This window comes from Homo sapiens, chromosome 11 (genome assembly GCF_000001405.40).
Source record: "Homo sapiens chromosome 11, GRCh38.p14 Primary Assembly".
NCBI classification, from domain to species: Eukaryota; Metazoa; Chordata; class Mammalia; order Primates; family Hominidae; genus Homo; species Homo sapiens.
In genome coordinates, this window is record NC_000011.10 from 78,744,787 (window position 1) to 78,765,010 (window position 20,224).

Genomic DNA, 20,224 nt, shown 5'->3' on the forward strand with positions numbered 1-20,224 from the left:
AAGGTTTGATGAGTATTCATATTTCAAATAGCCTGCTTGATAATTTTGACTCTTTAAGTGAACTCTGCTAAGATTGTTGATCATTTTGAATCTCTTAGTTAACTTTTTGTTCAGTCTTATGAAAATAATCATTTCTAACCTCATAGCGAGGTTGAGGAAAGTATTTAATATTAGGAGTAGAAGAAGTATCAGCTCTGCCATTTTGTTTGCTTGTACTCGCACTATTAGTATTATCTTCCATTTGTATTTACCTTGCAAGAAACCTTTAAAGCCACTTTACCATTTTATGAGTAAGTTTGGTTAACACTAGATTTTATACAGATACACAGACAGACACGCATACAAACAATTATGATGTAATATACTATTACATCATAATACACAATAATACACAACAAACCAGTGTGGGTCCACTGTCCCTCTTTCTTTTTTTTCTTTTTCTTTTTTTTTTTTTTTTTGAGACAAAGTCTGACTCTGTTGTCCAGGCTGGAGTACAGTGGCGTGATCTCGGCTCACTGGAACCTCCACCTACTGGGTTCAAGCGATTCTTGTGCCTCAGCCTCCTGAGTAGCTGGGATTAAAGGTGTGCACCACCATGGCCCAGCTAATTTTTTGTATTTTTAGTAGAGACAGGGTTTTGCCATGTTGGCCAGGCTGGTCTTGAAACTCCTGGCCTCAAGTGACCCACCTGCCTTGGCCTCTCAAAGTGGTAGGATTACAGGCATGAGCCACTGTGCCCGTCCACTGTCCCTCTTTCTGTGGAGTAGATCTTGATCTCCCTCAGAATGCCTCATGTGCTGGTCCAGACATGTAACCAAGTAACACAGAGACCAAAGGAACAAATCGGTGAGAATCCAACATTCTATAGAAATAAACCAGTCTTGCTTTCTTATTTCTTAAGATAAAAGAAACACTGTATAGATAGAGCCCCTAAAATTTTCTTCCTGTTCTCATGGCCCACCTTCGGTATCTACCTTGGGACTATGATAGTGTGTATGTGACTTTTTTGTATACAAAATAAACTTGAATATGCTATTTATTATTATACCCCAAAGCCAACTTCTCATTGTGCTTCAATCTTTATAACTTATTTCAAAGCTCATCCTATATTTACCATGTATATTTTCCAATAGCCTTATGCCCAAACCAGTAAAACTTGATCTAGTCCCTTTTTTTATTTTTTTGAGACAGGGTCTTGCTCTGTCGCCCCAGCTGGAGTGCAGTGGCATGATCTTGGCTCACTGCAACCTCTACCTCCAGGGTTCAAGAGATTTTTCTGCCTCAGCCTCCCCAGTAGCTGGGGTTACAGGCTCCATAGTCTCCTTCAGATTGACAGGAGGGAGGAGTTTACCTTTTAAGTTACAGGGGTCTTCTGAGTGACTGAGTCCACGTTCCTCATGTACAGGTGAGGTCAGTGATATCTGAAGGTGGGGCATCCCTTCCATCACTCCTTGAGGAGGGGGTACCACCAGCTCCGCCATGGTGCCGTGACACCACCTGGGGCCATCTAACAGCAAGATGGCCCAGCACTTACTAGTGTCTTCAGGGACCTGAGGCTGTGCTTCCCGCAGAGCCCAGAAACCACTGTTCTGTGGCCTCCTAGCTAAGCATGGCTGTTGAGCTCCTTCAGACACCAAGGGAGCGTGAGCTCCCAGGCTGCAGAATCAATCTGTCAAGGCTGTGGGCAGCCTGGCTGCTCAATGCTGATGCTTCAGGCTGAGTCCTCTCCCATAGGAATCTTCTGGAATATTTTCTGCTGGCTGATAAAAGTGTACACAAGACCAGAGCCCTTGACTTGTCCACCATACTATGCTTCCAGGGAACTGAGCCCATCGACTATGGTGAGGGAGAAGCAGGACTGAGACAGTCTGGCCAGCAGGGAGCAAGGCCCTTGTCCCAGCTAAGTGGGTTGGTCATGTCTGGGGACATGGCTCAGAAATACCGTCGTTGTGCCTGGGGACATGGGATATGTGGTGCATGTTCAGATAGGCTGTTTTCTATGCTGTGTGGCCAGAAGCTTGTTTCAAAGAAGACTTTTCAGGTGATGGTTTGTGCTGTTAGAAAAATACAAGGCAGCTCTGCTAAAATGTGACTCTAGCCACAGTCTCTCAGCAGACAAGTTCATTTCATGACCATGTGTCTCGCCTTCTGTCAGGGACAGGGCAGGTCCTGCTTCACCAGGAAAGGGGAAACCAGAATGAACCATGATCAGACCCACTTCATGGGGAAGGGGCTGATGCCAGGCAGAAACGCAGCTAAGGGAGTCTGCACAAAGTTCAGCTCAATAGGCTGGAGCTGAGGTGCACAGCAATACACAGCTGGCCTGTAATGGAAATAATAATTCAAAGGATGAGGGAGGAGGGGCTGACAGGAAGACAGCCATGGTGAAGGGGCTCCCAGAGGCATCTGGATGTGGACGTCCCGTGTGTCACTAGGTTATCATGCCCAGGTACAGCAGGGATGGAGCTCCAGACCCAGATGTGGCAGGGATGGGAGCCTGTCAAAAGAGGGCAAGGTTTGAGTCCTTTGGTGCCAGGGCACTAGGCTGCTGAAGTCAGACACAGAAAGTGGGGCCAGGATTCAGGGACAAGGCAGAAAGCCATTTGGCACAGCTGGCAAGTCATGGGTCAGACAGACAACAGTAGGAAGGATGTGAGGTTGAGCAGCTGGGGCTGCTCTAAGTCCTTCTTCTCAGATTGGGATTGGTCCTAGAGGCCTGCAGCGTTAGACCCACAGGGTGGACTCACATGGCCCCCACTGTGGTGGGAGGAGGAGATCCAGGCAGGGGAGGCACGAGGGGCTGGATCTCTCCCCTCTAGCAAAATGCCACACAGAGGCCGCATCCCTCCCTGTCAAGCCCCTCACTGTGGGATTTGCTTGGAGCAAACTCTTAATGCCTCTGAGATCTAATTGGAGGGCCAGTTAGACTACATGCAGAGGTGTCTGCAAGGCCTGATCCTATATTCTCTATTGAGGGCAATATTAGTAATGTGAAACATGGCTCTCTAAATATTTTAACTTCTTATTGCTTAAAATTTCTCAGTGTTGGATAAAAATGCAGAAAGTCTTTGATTTACAAACAGCAGAATTACAGTTTATAGTTTGAGATATACGAACCTTCACTTGGGACTCCAGGTTCTCTGGGACTCAGGCCTGGCTACTAACTTGCTGAGCCAGGGGCTCTCTCTGGCCTTGGAGATTCCTCTTCCAGCACAGAGGGCTGATGGTCTGGAAGGTCCATTCACCCCTGCCATCCTAAGGTGCTAGGACATTTGCCCCAATTACACAACTACACCGATGCTTCAGGTTAAGATTCTCATTTTTCTCCCAGTTCTCAGTAGTGACGCTAAAACCTGTATGTATACTAATGCTATAGCTAATGCTAATATTAACATTACTGCTATTTAGTGACAGTGGCCACTATCACTTAAATGAATGCTTACTGCCCTAATACCTAAGTGTTTTACATGTGCTAACTTAATCCCCACAAAATCCCCATGAGATATGGATTATTATTTTCATAGTGTAGAGGAGGGAAGTGAGGCACAGAAAGATTAAGAGACTTGTCTAAGGTCACACAGCTAGCAAACAGTGAGGCTGAGAGTCCAACCTCTGAGGTCAGTGCTCTTCAGCATGAAGCCTTACTGCACATGGGTTTTTTATGATGTAGTAGAATATTGGAGAGAAAGTCAGGGCCAGGTGGGGTGCTAGGGTTGTAGTGGCACCACACTGTATGGATTTCTGAACTGAAGATGCTGAGCAGGGAACATAAAGGACTCAGCGGAGAAGAAGACAGGCTCAGTACATGGGCTCTAGAGCCAACTGGGCGTGGCTTCCAATGTTGGCTCTGCTATTACAAGCCCTATGACCATGGCCCAGATTACTTAAATTCTCAGTAGCTCAGTTTTCATTGCTTAAAACAAGGGTGATAAAGTCCCTATATCATAGGGTCTGCCAGAGATTTAAAGGTGTTACTACCTATAAAACATTCCAAATAGAATATCCTTGGTAAATGTTAGGTGTTAGTACTGAACGCATGCTATGAGCCAGACATCGGGCTTCTGGGTATTTTATCTCATTTAATCTTCCAAACAACCTGGCAGGGTGGAATTAGTGACCCCACATCAGAGGGGAGGAAGTTGAGTCTCACCAGCCCAAGGTCCCATGTTCTCACTTTCCCAAGGACTTGAATCCAGGCTCTCTCCCTCTAACCCAAGCTGTTCCCGCTGCACCACAGCATCCTCTGCTAATGCTTTCTGTGATGGACAACTAGGAACAAGCTCAAGCTACAAAGCAAACAGAGATCGTAATTCATTTTTGAAATCAATAAAGGGATGATCAAGTGGCAGAGGAGGAGTTGTTAGCTGCTCATCAGGATGATGTGAGAAGTCGTTGCCTGCATCCTGAATTGAATCACCTAGTTGCTTTATCATCATAAACATTCATTTCAACGCGGGGAGGGATTTTTAAAAAACCAACATGAATAATATATAATGGCTGACATTTTGGAGGAAGCAGGATCTTTGCCTTCTTCTATCTTCCATCAGGTAATTTATCATTGTCTTTCTTTCCTTTTTTTTTTTTTTTAAACTGATGGGGTACCCTGTCAGCTCAGCTTGTTCTGAAAATGCAGGAGTATAATTCAATAATAAATTTGCTCAGAGGCCAGCTGTCAGGAAGTTGGTGTTTATTTGAAGTCCATTAGATGATCTCTGCTGCTCGCCCTCTTGAGGGCTTCCTGAAGGCTGTCTAAAGCCTGGGTGGAGGTGTGGGGTGGGGAGCAAATGCTCTTCTGAAACTGCTATGCCACTGACGCTTGCATATGGCTTTAGGTTCACAGTGGGCTGATAAAAAATCACATTGCATACATGGTCATTTCTCTTTTCCATCATTTTTCACTCTTGAAAACTCTTGCTTTTAAAATTCCTGGAAGCTTTGTGCCTTTCTATAGGGTGTGAATGGAATTCTAAGACTTAGGTGGAATCAAGGTTATTTCACTCCTGTTTAGAGCCAGTTTTAGGTCCTGATTGAGATGAAATGCTGGAACTTGGTTAGTGAACGGGTGAGGGTCAGATCTTTCTCAGTTCCTGCCCCTAACCCACTTTTCTGGCCTCATAGTTCCCTATGTTCCTCTTTCTCCCACATGCCCCCTTTGCTCACCATGCTCATATACCACAGATTTCCTAAGCCCATCTTGATTTCAAATGTCAGAGCACGTCTTCTGACCTTTGATGTGGAAAATAATGTCACCATAATTATCCTCCAGACACATTAAAATTTTCTCCATTCTCTGATTGTCCTGGAAAGTTATGCTGTTGCTCACACTGGTTCTGCAGTATAGAATGCTTTCTACAATCCTGTTCAACTGAAACCCACAGTAAGCAATACAGCTTATCCAGTAGTTCATGCATACACATACACATGTAACTGAAATAAGTTTCATGAAATACATATTCTTTTTACAGTGATGCACTGATATTTTCTATTTCCTTCTACTCCATTCCAGTTAAATTTACTTCTCTTTTTGAAAAGAATAGTTTCGACCTGCTGAATTGATTTCATAAGGTACTAATGGGTTTGTTGTGACCTGCAATTTGATAAATGATGCTCTAATGGCCAAGTCTCCCGACTGAAATTTTTGTCTCAGGCTGAAGGCCATCTCCTGCCAGAAGTCTTCATTTGTTCATTTGTTTTCAACAGCAAACTTTTAATATTGTCTACTCTAAGCCCGCCCTGTGTTACATGCTGGAGAAGCAAAGCTGTAGGAGAGGCAGCTCTCATGGTGTAGGCTCAGGGGGCAGACGTGCAGTGAGAGTGATGGTCTTGCCTTTGAGCTCACAGAGCACTTTTGTCTCTACTTCTCTTCAGGCACTCAGCAGGGACTGGCTAATTCATTGATTTATTCTATCATTCACTGTGGTTCACTCTGTGCCAATTCCTTTGGGTTCAATGACAAACAAGGCATGGGACCCACAAAGAGCCCCCAAAGTAATGGGGTGAGATATCTTCTTATTCCACACCTAGTACAGAGTAGGTGCTGGTCAATATTTACCAAATGAGGCTTGTGTGTGTGTGTGTGTGTGTGTGTGTGTGTCTGTGTGTCTGTGTTTTGAGACAGGGTCTGGCTCTGTCACCCAGGCTGGAGTGCAATGGAGTGATCTCTGCTCTCTGCAACCTCTGCCTCCTGGGTTCAAGTGATTCTCCCACCTCAGCTTCCTGAGTAGCATGGACCACAGGCGTGCACCACCACACCTGGCTAATTTTTTGTATTTTTCATAGAGACGGGGTTTTGCCACATTGCCCAGGCTGGTCTTGAACTTCTGAACTCAAGCGATCCATCTGCCTCGGCCTCCCAAAATGCTGGGATTACAGGCGTGAGCCAGCATGCTTGGGCAGCTTGTGTGTTTTTCTCTGCTCTGTCCCTCGCTAAGCCTGCCCAGTCTCTCCTCCTCATAGGCTCTGACCCTCTGTATAGGATACGATTCTCTGCCTCCTTTGGGGTAAATTCTCTGGTCACCCATCCTTCCTTTTGCTAAAGTCCCCTGACTTCTTGAGCCTTTTCTCTTGGGGCTCAGTGTCTCCTGTCAGCTGAGTCTTGTAGCTCCCTGTCCACGACCATCTATTGCCTGATGGAGCCAATAACCTATTAGAATTAGAGGAACCCAGCAAGATTTGCCATCACATGATTTCTCAAATTCCCTTCCTCAAATAATGATTCAACAATCTAAACCTGCCTCCTCTCTGGGTGGTTGTAATACTGTGTCCTCAAACCTATTCTGAATCTATATTTGAATAACCTGGGGGTGGTTCGTCAGAACCTCTTCCTGTAACTTGCTAACCTGTCCAGCATCGGCAACCTGTAACTATTCACTGAGGGGATATCTGACCCACATCCAGCCCTTTCAGTCAGAGGAGTCCTCCCCAAGAGCACAGATGCACCCAACAACGGGAAACAGCTCTGGCTCGAGTGCTTGCCCAGGAGATGTCTCACGTTGCCCTCCCTTTCCCAGCTCTCTGATCCCAAACCCCACAGTGTGTGTCCTGGACTCTTTGTATTGACAGTGCAGTTGGAGGTCCTGCAGACCTCAGAGCTCCTCCTCTCCTAAGTGTCAATAGTGGACACCCTTCACTGTATTCTCCCCATGACTCCATGGGAGGGACAAGTATTCCACTAGGCAGATGGGACCCGGGCATCCAGGCCAGGAGAGAATGGTGGTATTCAAACCACTTAATCTGGTGACAGTGGTTCCCATGCCTACTCTGTCCCCTCCTACTTTAGGTCATCTCTGTCACTCTCCATCACAGCTCTGTCACTTTCTGTGGGTTTGAGGACAGCAGTGGCAGGATGTCAGATAGAGCTACTGTATTCATTAAACCTGCATTAAACACCTGCTCTGGACCCAGCACTGTGCGGGGCCCTGGGGACACAGATGAACCAGAGAGGGCCCCTCAGGGAGGCCTTCATCACTCCAGGAGATGGGGTCTGGCCTCTGAGGAAGTGAGTCTTGGGGAGAGCCCTGGGTGCTGGGGACTGGCTTGCTTGCTTTCACACCCAAGGTAGGCCAGTTGGCTCCAAGCCCTGGGCTTGAATTCCCCTCCCTCCTCTGGTCCCAGCAGCTGAGGTCCCAGTGTGCCTCATACTTGAGGCTCCCTGAGGCTGACCCAGCTGGGAATCTGCAGAGAGAAGGAGCTCCACTCTGAGGCCTGCCTTTCCTTGCTGGTCTCAGAAATGCTGTTGGGTTCTGGGTGACAACCTGCTTCCTGGAGGCTGTTAAATGAAATCTCAAACTACAAATTGTGGCACAGCACATGGGGTGCAGGAGAATATGGGGTTTTGTTGGTTGGACACAGGCCTAATTGTCATACACAGGCACCAAGTCAGGTCTGCCTCCCCATCAGAAATTCCACTCTCTGGAGAAACGCCACTGGGCTCCACTCTAACAAGGATCCCAACTGACAGCTGGCTGGCAAGAATGCAGCCTTTTCTCCCTTCCTCAAATAATGATTCAACAGCCTAAACCTGCCTCCTCTCTGGGTGGTCGCTGGACCTGGAGGGCAGGTTCCTCTCAAGTTTTACTTTCCATTAAGGAAGTGGATTTGGAAACTCTTTTTAATTAACATCATCATCACCGCCATGTAATTAGCAAGCAAGTTTTTGTGTGGCAGGTACTAGGTTGAGACTTTATGTACTTTTTGTTCCCATTTAATTCTCATAGCAATCCCTAGACACATAGACGTTAACACCCTAATCTTACAGATGAGCAAGTTGGAGCTCATATAAGTGAACAATTTAGGAATTTTCCTAAGGTTACAAAACTGGAAAGTGGATGCAACAGCCTTTTAATCTTGGTCTGTCAGATTCCCAGGCTTGTGCTATTTTCACTATGATATGCGGCTGCTACAAAAGCCACCATTTACTGATCACCTAATATGTACCAAGCCCTGGGCCAGGTGCTTTATTTTAGTTTATCCTTTCAACAGCTTTCATGAAAGAGTACCATTATTGCCAATTTATAACTAGAGCCACCTACACAAAGGTTAAATCATTTCCCTGAGGTCACACACAGCTAGTGGGAGGTAAAGCCAGGATTGTAACTCTGGGCACTTGCTATTATACCAAACTCCCTCATATGAGAGGACAGAAAGCAACTACTTAAACTGGGTAGTTGATTTCACTTTATCCCAGCTGTGCAAATAAGCACTGTCCTACTGGTCCAGACCAAGATCATCGAATACCAAGTAGTTAGTCTAATGAGAAAAGCATCTGCTGCCTCATGTTTCTACATTTCTAGTCACTTGGGCATATTTTACACAGGAATCTGTTTGGGGGTCCTTCCTGATAGCTGTTTCTTCTGAATCTAGATCAGTGAAGAGCTGGTACATAATGATTCTGGCAAATGTTAGGTAAAAGGAATTTTTACAGTAACTTTTTTTTTTTTTTTAAAGAGACAGTAACATTTTGGAAGCTTCCATTATCTATTCATTTGTAGAGCAAATACTATATCCCTGGCCCTGGCCAAAGTATTACAGGTTTGGAGAGATGAATGGTCTCTGTTTTCAAAGTGTATATAACCAACTGAAGGTGACAGATATATAAACAATGATCTGCAAAGTTGACTTCTTCTGCTTCTGTGACTAATCTGCAATGTGATTTTTAGCAGGTGATTTAACTTCTCTGGACTCTGAATCCTCAGTATAAAATTAGGTAAAATAGATAATATGTCCATCCTTCCTCCCTCCCTCAGTTCTTCCATTTCTTTATTCTTCAAGGCAATTTATATGTATATGTTTTCAGCAACTACTAAGTGCTAAAATGTGTAAGATGAAGTGTTTCCCTGGAGGACTTGGTTTACAGGGGTTGACAGACATTTACAGGATGCACTCTATTAAGCTGCTTGTCCAGAGCTATGTATCTAGAGCGGCAGAGCCAGGATCTGAAGACCAAGCTGGCCTCTCTCTGAGGCCTGTGTCTTCCCTACTGCTGAGGGGTCCATTTTCCCCAGCACAGGCTTCTCAAACTCCATACTTGGCTGGCTCCTTGAGGCCAGTCAGACTTGCTGGAGCAACAATACCGAGACCTGTGTGCAGGTCCCACAGTGGCTCATGGCGCTTAAGCAGCAGGCTCAGGAAGTGACCAGGAGGACATACAGGAGACGTGTCCCTGCTGGCATTGATCAGGCTGGCATGGCAAGGGCATCCAGTAAGCAGAACAGCCATAGGCAGCCAACAAGCCATGGCCCTAATTGGATCCAATAATGGGCCCCGTAAAGAATGACTGAGCAAGTGACAATTTCCTTGGTAGGAATATTAGCTATATCTCTAGTGGATTAAAAAAACTCACACTGTGGGAAGGCCTACAAGCATACATACAAAATCACACAACTGAAGAAAATAGCAGGAAGCTTCCCACCCAGAGACAGAAGCAGCATTTCTGGCCAAGATAAATGAATAGGTTTTCTCCTCACTCCGGCTCTGCCACTTGACTAGCCTTGTGAATTTGGGAAAGTTACTTAACCTCTCAGCTTCTCAGTACTCCGGGGGTAAGTTGGAGGGTTCGGACCATCAAGTAGCTTCACCTCTAGAAAGGTGGAGGTTTGAATTCTGCCACGCACTTGCTGGGCTTCCTTCATCTCACCTTTCTCATCTCGTCACGACTCCTTGCAAGGATGGGCTAGGGTGGTGGAAAGTGCAGGGGCTCCTTCCCGAGTCTGACAGACCTGCATGTCTGCATCCCGCTCCGTCATGTTCCAGCAGTGAGGACTTCTCTTTGGCTTCCCTTGTCACCCTCTGGGGATGACAGCAGCTGCCTCACAGGGAGGCTCCCCATGGCTTCTTCTTCAGTCCCTGCTCTTTTCTCATTACATATTCCCCTTGAGCAAGGTTTTTTTTTCTCCCTGAGATGGGGTCTTGCTCTGTCACCCAGGCTGGAGTGCAGTGGGACGGTCTTGGCTCACTGCAGCCTCAACCTTCTGGGCTCAAGTGATCCTCCCACCTCAGCCTCCTGAGTAGCTGGGAGTATAGGTACCTGCCACCACACCCAACTAATTTTTGTTTTGTTTTTTTGGAGAGATGGGGTTTTGCCATGTTGACCAGGCTGGTCTCGAACTCCCGGGCTCAAGTGATCTGCCCGCCTGAGCCTCCCAGGGTGTTGGGATTACAGGCATGAGCCACTGCGCCCAGCCTCCTCGGGCAACCTTTTGTGTGCTCATGGTTTCAACTGCTTGTTCATTGATGGCTCCCAAATCAAGAACTCTAAGCCCTAACTCTAAATGAGCTCCAGAATTACTAACTGCAGATAGACATTTACTCGTGGGTGGCCTACTGTGGTGTGTCCCTTTATCACCTTGCTCCCACCCTGCTCCTGCTCTCTGCTCCTCAGCCTGGTGAAAATACCACCATTTACCCAGGCATTCAAGCGGGAGACTCCTCTCTGCAGCATCCCGCAGACACAATCAGTTACCAAGTCCTGCTGATTTCCCCTTTAAATAGAGCTTGAAAATGTCCCTTACCCTTCCTACCCCCATCACTACCCCATTGTTCCCTCAGGACAGGGACCCTCTGGCACAGAAAAATGAACATACGAGGTGCACGGTGACTGCTGAATTAACCACACTGACTTTTAGAGAAAGTTCTGCACATATGAGGCACCACTACGTTGGAAGACATTCAAAAGAAATGATTATAAATCCCTGCTCTTGGATATGCTGTTCACTGCCCTGATCTAGGGTGCAGAGATTAGAGAGCTATTTTGTGTCTCTGGGTCTTTGCATGAGCTCTTCCTTCTCCCTGGCACACTCTCTCCCTTCCTTGCCTAGTTAACCGTCTCTCCTCTTTAAGACTTGATTCTAAAGCCCTGGCCTCCCTCCTACCCAGGAGTACATCCTCTGTGCTCCACAGTACCCTGGGGACAAAGTTCTGGCCTAATCACACTGTAACTGTCCCTTTTTTGTCTTCCTAGTGGACTGGGAGTGACCAACAATCAGGAACTGTGTTCTGCTCAACTCTGCAATCCCAGCAAAGGACCTGCCACAGACCTCCGTATAAAATTGTCCAATGGATGACACAACTGAAAACAGGGAGATTGTATGGGTATGTGGCCTGGGATGGCAGCAGATGTACCCACCCCCTGCCTAGCAAAGTCTTCTGGATGTCTGCTTTGAGGGTGAGCAGCATCAATGCCTTTCAGTTCATCTGGAGACCACAGGATCAGTAAGAGCTGACTGCAAAGTGGGTATTGATCCAAGATTCCCCTTGGACCTTTGGTTTCTCACTGTCTTCATCTGTCACCCAGTGGGAGCAACAAAACTTTGCTCATAAAAATTCCAAACTCCTTGGAGAGTAGTTTTATAAATGTAGGTACCTGAGGCTGCTTCTCTGCCTCCCCCGACATTCCATCAGGAACCATGGATGCTCTCACGTTCCTGGCTTCCTCCCACCCCCATTCATCCAAAAGAGGCTCTAGAGTGATTCAGTTCTCCCTCAGAGAGCCCTGGCTGGAGCTGGGGCCCTCGGACTCACCCTCCATCAAAGGGGTTCTCCCCGGGGATTATGTGCGTGCTGTCCCTGCCCACGAGGAACTTGATGCGGTCATAGAAGGAGTGTAGGTTCTGCTGTGACACAGGGACCTGTGTCTCCTGGATGATGTCCAGAGGGTTAGGGGAGCCAAGGCACAGCGGGTTGATATGGCACAGGGGCTGGAGGCAGCAGTCAGGGTCCATGCAGTCCACCAGGCCATCTGCAGGAGTGACAGAGCATGTGGTTTATATTGCTATGTTCAATCAGCCATGTTTATCCAGAATGCCTTAATTCATTTCTTCTCTATTTTTCACTCATTCAAAAACTTTATTAAATGCTGATATAAGCCAAAGTCTTTGCTGGGCACCAAACAGATGCAAGTGACTCAGATGTGGTCCTAGCTCACTAGTCTAGAAGGAGAGATAGACAGTAAGTGTACAGTGTCTGTACTGTATGTTTTTCCTTCCATCGAGAATAGAAGAGATTGTATGTATGAAGACCCAGAAGTGAGATAACACATGAACATTTGTGATGCTATATTCAAATGCTGATGGCCAGAAGGTGAGTGGAAGAGCACCATGTGAGGCTGCTGAGGTTGACAGGGGCACACCAGGCTGGGCCTTGCAGGCCAAGTTAGGGAGTTTGAATTTCACCCTCAGAACAATGGGAATCACCGAAGGCTTTTAAGCAGGAGGTGACTTCATCTGGTGTGCACTCCTGAAACCAAAGGGGGCCTCAGTGGGAGCTGGGAGCCAGACAGGAGAAGAGGGCATCGCTGAGGTTGCACAGGTGAAAAATAAAGGTTGCTTAGACTGCAGTAGTAACAGTGGCAATTAAGAGAAGTAGATGGTATTGAGAGACATTTAGGAGGTAAAACTGTAAGCCCTGGTGACTGCCTGGCTTTGGGAGTGAAGGCACAGCAATTCTCAGCGTCTCTCCCAGCCTCAGTGTAAGCGTGTGGCCTGCGGCTGAATCCTCGGTCCTCTGGAGGCCTGCTCTGCTTTCTGTGAGAGGAGGCTGCAGGGATATTTGTGCTTTTTGAGTTTGCTGGATGGTTTCAGATCCCTGACAGAGTTTCCATTAGCAGGGAATTCTCTTTACCACATGGATGGGCTTCTTCAGGACTGGAACTTGTATTACAGCTCTACTATCTTCCCAAAGTACAAAGAAAGTCCACCAGATCACAGATTTTTGGCCTCATTATATCAAAGTACTTTTACAGGCACCTAATATTAATAGACCAGCTTAAAATACATAACAAAGAGATAAGCAGGTAGTGTCCAAAGTGGTGGACAGGAAAAGCCCAGGGGTACAGTCTATGTGCTTTGTCGGCAGACAACAGTCTAACGACATGTATTCCTGCCTGGGTTCAAATTCTGGCTCTGCTGCGTCTCAGCTGTGTGACTTTGGGAAACTTCCTCACCACCGTGGGAGCGCACAGATCTGTTCTGTGTTCCAGCACTTAGTGGAAGTGCTTAAAACATAACTGCTATACAAATAAATGAATGGGAATTGAATGAATTAAATAGTGAAGCAGGGGTTGTGACAAATGCCAGTCCATAAAAGCCAGAAAACTGTAACTTCATCCCATTGAGGTAAGCAGTGTGCTATGGTAGGAGGACCATGATGTTCAGAGACTAAAGTTCAAGACCAAGTATGGCCCCCAACAGTGACCCTGGACAAGTTCCTGTACTTAGTCTCTCTGAGCCACATTTCATAAATAATGTGGGAGTAACAGTGATATACCTACTTCTCTAGTTTTCTCCATGGAGTTTACAATACAGAAGCTGCCCACCAAAGTACTGCAAATGCATTGGTTAGACTTGGTGTCCCCGATCCTCCTTGCTAGTGGTGTGGCCTCAGGTAAGCTACTTGATTGTCCTAAAACCTAGTTTTTTCCTTAATAAATTAGTAACAAAAAGCCTTTCTGTTTCTCTCCCATTTCTGCATGGTGCCCAGAAGCTTATAGTCTCCTTGAAGGCAGATAGTGATAAAGAGTATGGATTCCAGAGATAGACTGTCTGGGGTCAAATCCTGGCACTGAAACTTACTAGTGTGTGACTTTGGGCAAGTTACTTAAACTCTCTGGCCTCAGTTCCCCATATCTCTTAAAGGGGGATCATAAGAGTAAGTGTCAAACAAGTATTTGTTATATAGATAAAAAGTGCAGCATTATGTCCCCAAATCTAGCATAGTATCTGACACATGGTATCATAGTGCTTAATTCTGGGTTAGTTTCCCTTCCTCATCCTGAACTTAGAACATGGCTCACCAACATGAAGAGCCATTCATCCTTTCTCTGCTCACCTGCTAGATTCACTCTGAGATACGGAAGGAATGCCTCCCCTCACCCCAGCATTGACCTGCATCCTAACTTGTGGCTCCTGTCCCAGCTCCCAGATACAACTGCCTAGCAAAGCACCTGTCTTCTCCAGCAGTCGGCAGCCTCCATCACACATTCTCATGCTGCCCCTGTCAGACATTGCTTAAACACATAATTACAGCCCGAGCTGAGGGTTATTTGCATTCTGCTATTGATGTTAGCATGACAGATTCAGCTGTTGCATCCATAACTCTGCAGAAATGCTCCATTATTCAATCCCAGTGAGCAGGGACATTGACCATTAAATCAGCTAGCACAATTGAAGGGCCGTGAAAAGTCATGGCTAATTTGAAATTTTATTAGCTCTTTCCTGGTCTTGTTTACCACCAAAGCAGTCCCTGGAAGCCTGTGTTTTACCCTTTTATAAACATTCAGCTCTGTGGCACCTGGAAAGAGCTGCTTCCTGTGAGAAGGGATGTCTGCTCTCTAGTCCTGGGGGAAGGTTAGCCAGGAATGATAGCTGTTCTTATTAATATCTATATTACAGTGATGGCGATGATGATGATGAATTGCCACATTTATTGAGTGCCAGGCATTCTGCTAAATATATTACAAGGAATGCATCATTGAATCCTCTATGAAGTAGCCACTGTTGTCACTCTCATTTTAGAGAAAAGGAACCAGAGGCTCAAAGTGGTAAAGCAACTTGGTAAAGGTCATGTAGTCAGTGAAGAAGCTGACTCGGAATCTGAACTCAGTTCTTTCTGAGGCATATAATGTTCTTTAAGCTCTGGAGAGACTTTTAGGAACTATTTCTTAAGCAGAGAACATGAATTTCTGAATCTTAGTGAAACACTACTCTTCTGTGCCTCTTCCAGCCTCTTGGACAACTTCCATCACAGTACGTCTCTTTCCAATATTGTAATTTTGATTTTCTCTCCGTCCCCTGACCCCCATACTCTGCAACCCAAACGATGACCTCCTAGAGATCAGGGGTTGTCTGATTCATTTCATTATCCCAGGGCCCAGACCTGGGCAGGAACAGTGACTGTACTCCACAGAGGTTTGAGGGATGAATAAATGACTGACCCAGGTCAGGCCTGTCCCACTAATCCAGCATCCACGTCACAGGACAACAGAGGTCGACGGAGCCTTTTATTCTGTGATCGGTGGCCATATGGTGCTTAAGAGAGCCCTCTCTCCAGGCAAACTACCTGGATTTGGACCCCAGTTCCCAATTCTCATGCAAACTGTGTGACTTGGTCCAAGTTGCTTAACTTCTCTAAACCTCAGTTTCTTCATATGCACAATAGGGGAGAAAAAGAAGGATGGTTAATTCCTTAGACTCACCAATCTGTCTCTACAGCCAAGCGTGAAGCACAAAACTTCCCTTGGATGTCTTGTGACAATGAGACAAACATTTTCTAGAGAGGAACTTTTAGACTGAGACTCTGACTGCAAGCATGGGACCCAGCATGTATGCCTGCTCCACATAGGAACTGATAGGCCACACCATGGCCGTTTAATTAGTATTTGTGTCTCTCATTAGTTCTGCAAAGTTTGGTTTTGAGCTCTTTGAATATCCTCCTCTCCCTTTCTCTCTAGTCTTCAGGAAATTAACTACTAAATGCTTAGAGGATCTTCTAGCTTTCATGTCACTCAACCTCTTCCTTAATTTCCATCTTTTTATCCGCGTTCTATCCTGATTTGTTTCTTCAAATCTCTATTCTACTTCACTTATTTTCCCATCATTTGTGTCTGGTCTGCTGTTTAATTTGTTCTTCGGGTCATAAATTATCTTACTTTAAAATTTCTGAATAGGCTATTTGGAATTTTTCAAAATCCACCTGTTTCTTTCTTGATATTGTCTTGTTCTATGGTTTTTATATATCGTTTTCTCTCTTTAGTCATTTAAAAGTGTATTCATTTTATAGCCTTTTTCAGACTGTTAAGTTCTCGGGAGTGGTCATCCTTCTGCATGTTGTAGTTGTTGATTCTAGCTCATGGTCAATCATTTCCTACGTGTTCTATGATTCTGTTAATTCTCGGAAGGCTTGCCTTCCTATGGGAATCTTGTATGGTTGAACTAACCCTCCAGGGTGGTTTTCTTTTTTTTCTTTTTCTTTTTTTTTTGAGACGTTGTCTCGCTCTGTTGCCCAGGCTGGAGTGCAGTGGCGTGATCTCGGCTCACTGCAAGCTCCGCCTCCCGGGTTCCCACCATTCTCCTGCCTCAGCCTCCCGTGTAGCTGGGACTACAGGCACCTGCCACCACACCCAGCTAATTTATTGTATTTTTAGTAGAGACAGGGTTTCACCGTGTTAGCCAGGATGGTCTCGATCTCCTGACCTCGTGATCCACCTGCCTCGGCCTCCCAAAGTGCTGGGATTACAGGCGTGAGCCACTGTGCCTGGCCCAGGGTGGTTTTCTGATTACGTCAGCTGGCCACCTCAAGGGTACCATTTGTCTGGGACCACTTTTCAGGTTGATTTCTTAGGTTGGGGTTCTAGGACTGCTCTAGTATGTGAGTTTAGATTTCAAGGTCTTTTGAGGTATAGGCTTGGTCTCTTAGCACACCCCCCCAGCCCCGACAAGCCATGGCAGAGAAATGCCTCCATGTCATCCTTCTGGTCTAGTAGGCACTGTTTTTTTTAGTCCTTTTCTCACATGACTTGCAGCCTTTGAGGATCCCAGCTTTATGCAGGGCCTCAGTTCCAACCTCCCACTGTGGATGTGCCCTGTCTGCTGACTCTGAAATTATTCTGTTCTGAGTCTCCCTGGCGCTGATGATCCTGCACGTCTCCCAGGCCTGCTGTAGCTTGGGCTCCTGTGCCCACTGCTCTGGCCCATCAGCTTCATCTTGTTTCTAGAATCCAGGGCTCCCTTGTCTCCCTTTTCTTCTTTGCTCAATTTTATACACGAACAGTTGTACCCTGTCATCAGAGAATCTCTGTATGACCTAGTTGGCCATTTTGCTGAAAATAAGAGTTCCAGCAAGAGCTCTGAGCCTCAGTTCTCTGATCTGTAAAATGAATCATCAAACTTACTTCATAGAGTTGCTGTGAGGATGAGGCGAGATCATGGATGTGAGGCACTTAGCACGATAACTAGCAACTAAGCAAGTACTTGGCAAATGGTAGTTACTTAAATTAGCTCCTGCCCAGGAGCCTCCCTTGAACCACATTCTGGTAACAGGCCCTATACTGGCCCCTCCCTACACGCACATTACATGACAACCCTTTCTGGATAATGCAGTTTGGCCTTAGAGAACTGAAGTGGATAAACATGGTCATAGCAATGCACTGTAAATTAGGGTAGTAGAGGCCTCTGGGGATTTGCAGATTGGGGTCCTCTGCAATGGAAATATCACAAACTGTGCTCTTATGAGAGGCTCTGGCACTGTGGAATGTCTTACTCCATGCTTCCCAGGTGGGAGTGATTAATGCCTATACCTTCCTGTGGTGATGCTTCCTAATCATTTATTTAACAAATATTTGCTGAGTAGTAACTGCGGACAAAACTTCCACCAATGGAGGCAATCCTGTATAAATGAGACACACAAATGAGTAGGGCTTACAGCATTCTTTTCAAAGGCTGCAGTTTACAAGACCAGCTTCTGAGTAAAACCCTCTTTTTATTTTCAAATGTAGCATATGGTGGCCTGAAACAGTGCATATGGCTGTTCTACAGTGAGGGGGAATGGCTCCCAATTTAATTTTCTTAGGCATAGATGACAAATTTTAGAAGATTCTCATTAAAAGGAAAAAAAAGCGTGCTGTAGGGACAGAAATGTAATTTTTGGGATAGACTAGAAACATATTAATACACAGTTTGGGGGATTCTCTGGTTTTTGGGTGGCTTGGAAACATTTATAGTTTCCAAATACTTCATATCTCACTTAATTATATATCATACGTAAGTTGGTTGACTTATAAATTCTCTGTGTTTTGTATATTTGCTATCCCCATTCAGAGACCCTCATTATCACAGCAGAAAAAGAAATCAGGAAAGCAGAGGGTTTGCTTCTATGTCCTTCAAATTTTCTGTAAAACCCTCCTAAACCCCAGCTTTTGGGAAATAACTTTTTTCCCGGAAATTTCATTTTTCCTCATAGTTCTAAACACACACCCCCTTTTACATGGTGACAGTGAAAAGAGGCAGAAGAAAATGTCAAAAAGGCCAGGCAGGCCCTGGACGCTAGGGATGCAGCCATGCTGCACTCGAGTGGCCCCTGATGGGGAGTGGAGGGCAAAGAAAAGGGGGAAAAAAAGAAGGGGGGCCAGCATCTGGGGGCACTCAATGAAACAATCCAAAGTGGTTCACATATTCCTGACCCTTGAACTTGAAGCTCTGTGGTGCTCACATGCTGCTGGTGCATGGAGGGCTGGCTTCTGCTAACGTTTTCATCTATGTGCTCTGGCTGGAGGATGAAGGCCCTGCCATACTCTCACTGAGATCCCTCTTTGATGCCTGCCTTGCAGGTAGTTGTCAAATGACCCGGAGAACGAGGGAAAGGGGTGTGTGGGAGAAAGAAATCCAAGCTAGATGCCTGAAGACCTAGCCTCTCCCCTGTATCTGCCCCTCTCTGGCCATGAGACCTTGGGCACACCCTTCCTATGCCCGAGACGCAATTTGCTCCTGTGAAACCAGGATACTAGGCTCTGCCAACCTCTCAGGATTGCTGAAGGGCTCCAGAGTCTAAAAGAGTGAACGAGTAAGTCAACAAAAGAAATTTGAGTGTCTTTCCCATGCTGGTAGCTGTTCTCTGGAGCTCCCTCTGGAGACAGGGGCTGGGCTCAGACATAGGCCAAGTGAACAATTGCAGTCCTGACTAGAAGTGGCTTCCTGTTTGTTGTGTGACCTTAATGGTGGCCAGTGACTGGTGGGCCCTTGGGCCCCTCATTTCCCTTTCTTGTGTCTGCGTCCTTATCAGGGAGGCCAAGAGTACATGGGGCAGTCTCAAGGCTGTGGGCCTGTCTGATGGCCACCTCCTGGCCTTTACACACCAGAGACCCATTTTCCCTGGTGGCCAGCTTGCTGTGACTTTCACAGGAAGTAAAAGGTATGCAGGAGCGTGCTATTAAAGATGGGGGCAAGGCCAACCTTCTCACCTTTACAAATAAGGACACTGGGGCTCAGGTTATGTAATTTCCCTGACATCGTACCGCTAGTTAAAGAGCAGAACTGGGAATTTGGTCCATTATCTTTCTGTACATCGAGCTGTTAGGCACAATTCCACAGTGGACAACTCTTTACAGCAATGCTCTGGATTTTCTGGCTTCCAAGCCCTGTCGCCTCTCCACGTGGGGCAGAAATTGACTTGTTTATTTCTGTATCTCAAATGCACAGCACAGTGCTTTGCACACAGTAAGCATCACAATGGTTGAATGAATGAATAAATGCATGCATTTTTTTATGTAAGAATCTCAAATTAGACAGCTCCATCAGCTTGACAGGGCCCATCAAGGGCCATGGGGTGTGGTGGAAGCCATTCCCTACAGGAGGAGCTCATCCCTCTCCTTAGAAAAGAGACACAGGGAACATGCCTGTTAACGTTCACTTAGTACCCATTATGTGGCTGGCAGGACCTGTGTTAGGCACTGGATGCTCAGGAATAAAAGAGTCACGCCTCTAAAGGATTTGGTGTAGTGGGGCAGACAGAGACAATTGAGTGCTGGAGAAGAAGGAAGTAGAAGGGGCTGTGGAAGCCCAAAGGTGGGACCCCAACTCAGGCTGGGGGCTGGATTATTTCCTGGAAGACAGAATGCTTAAACTGAATCTGGAAGGATGGGCAAGGATAAAAAGGAGAATGGGGGTGTGGGCGGGGGCAAGGTGGGGCAATCCGTGGCCTAGTAAACTCTTTGTACTGTAGTTGTTTGCATGGTTCC

General features: G+C 46.2%; 1 protein-coding gene across 10 annotated transcripts in view; it reads right to left on the reverse strand.

Annotated features, from left to right (window-relative positions):
• The window catches only part of TENM4 (teneurin transmembrane protein 4), a 788,202-nt gene that overhangs the window by 91,958 nt on the left and 676,020 nt on the right, over window positions 1-20,224 (reverse strand). For all 10 annotated transcript variants that reach the window (XM_047426739.1, XM_047426737.1, XM_047426736.1 and 7 more), the window contains one exon: window positions 12,019-12,235. In XM_047426739.1, the coding sequence (XP_047282695.1) occupies window positions 12,019-12,235 (217 nt within the window). The remainder of the gene's footprint in view (window positions 1-12,018; window positions 12,236-20,224) is intronic.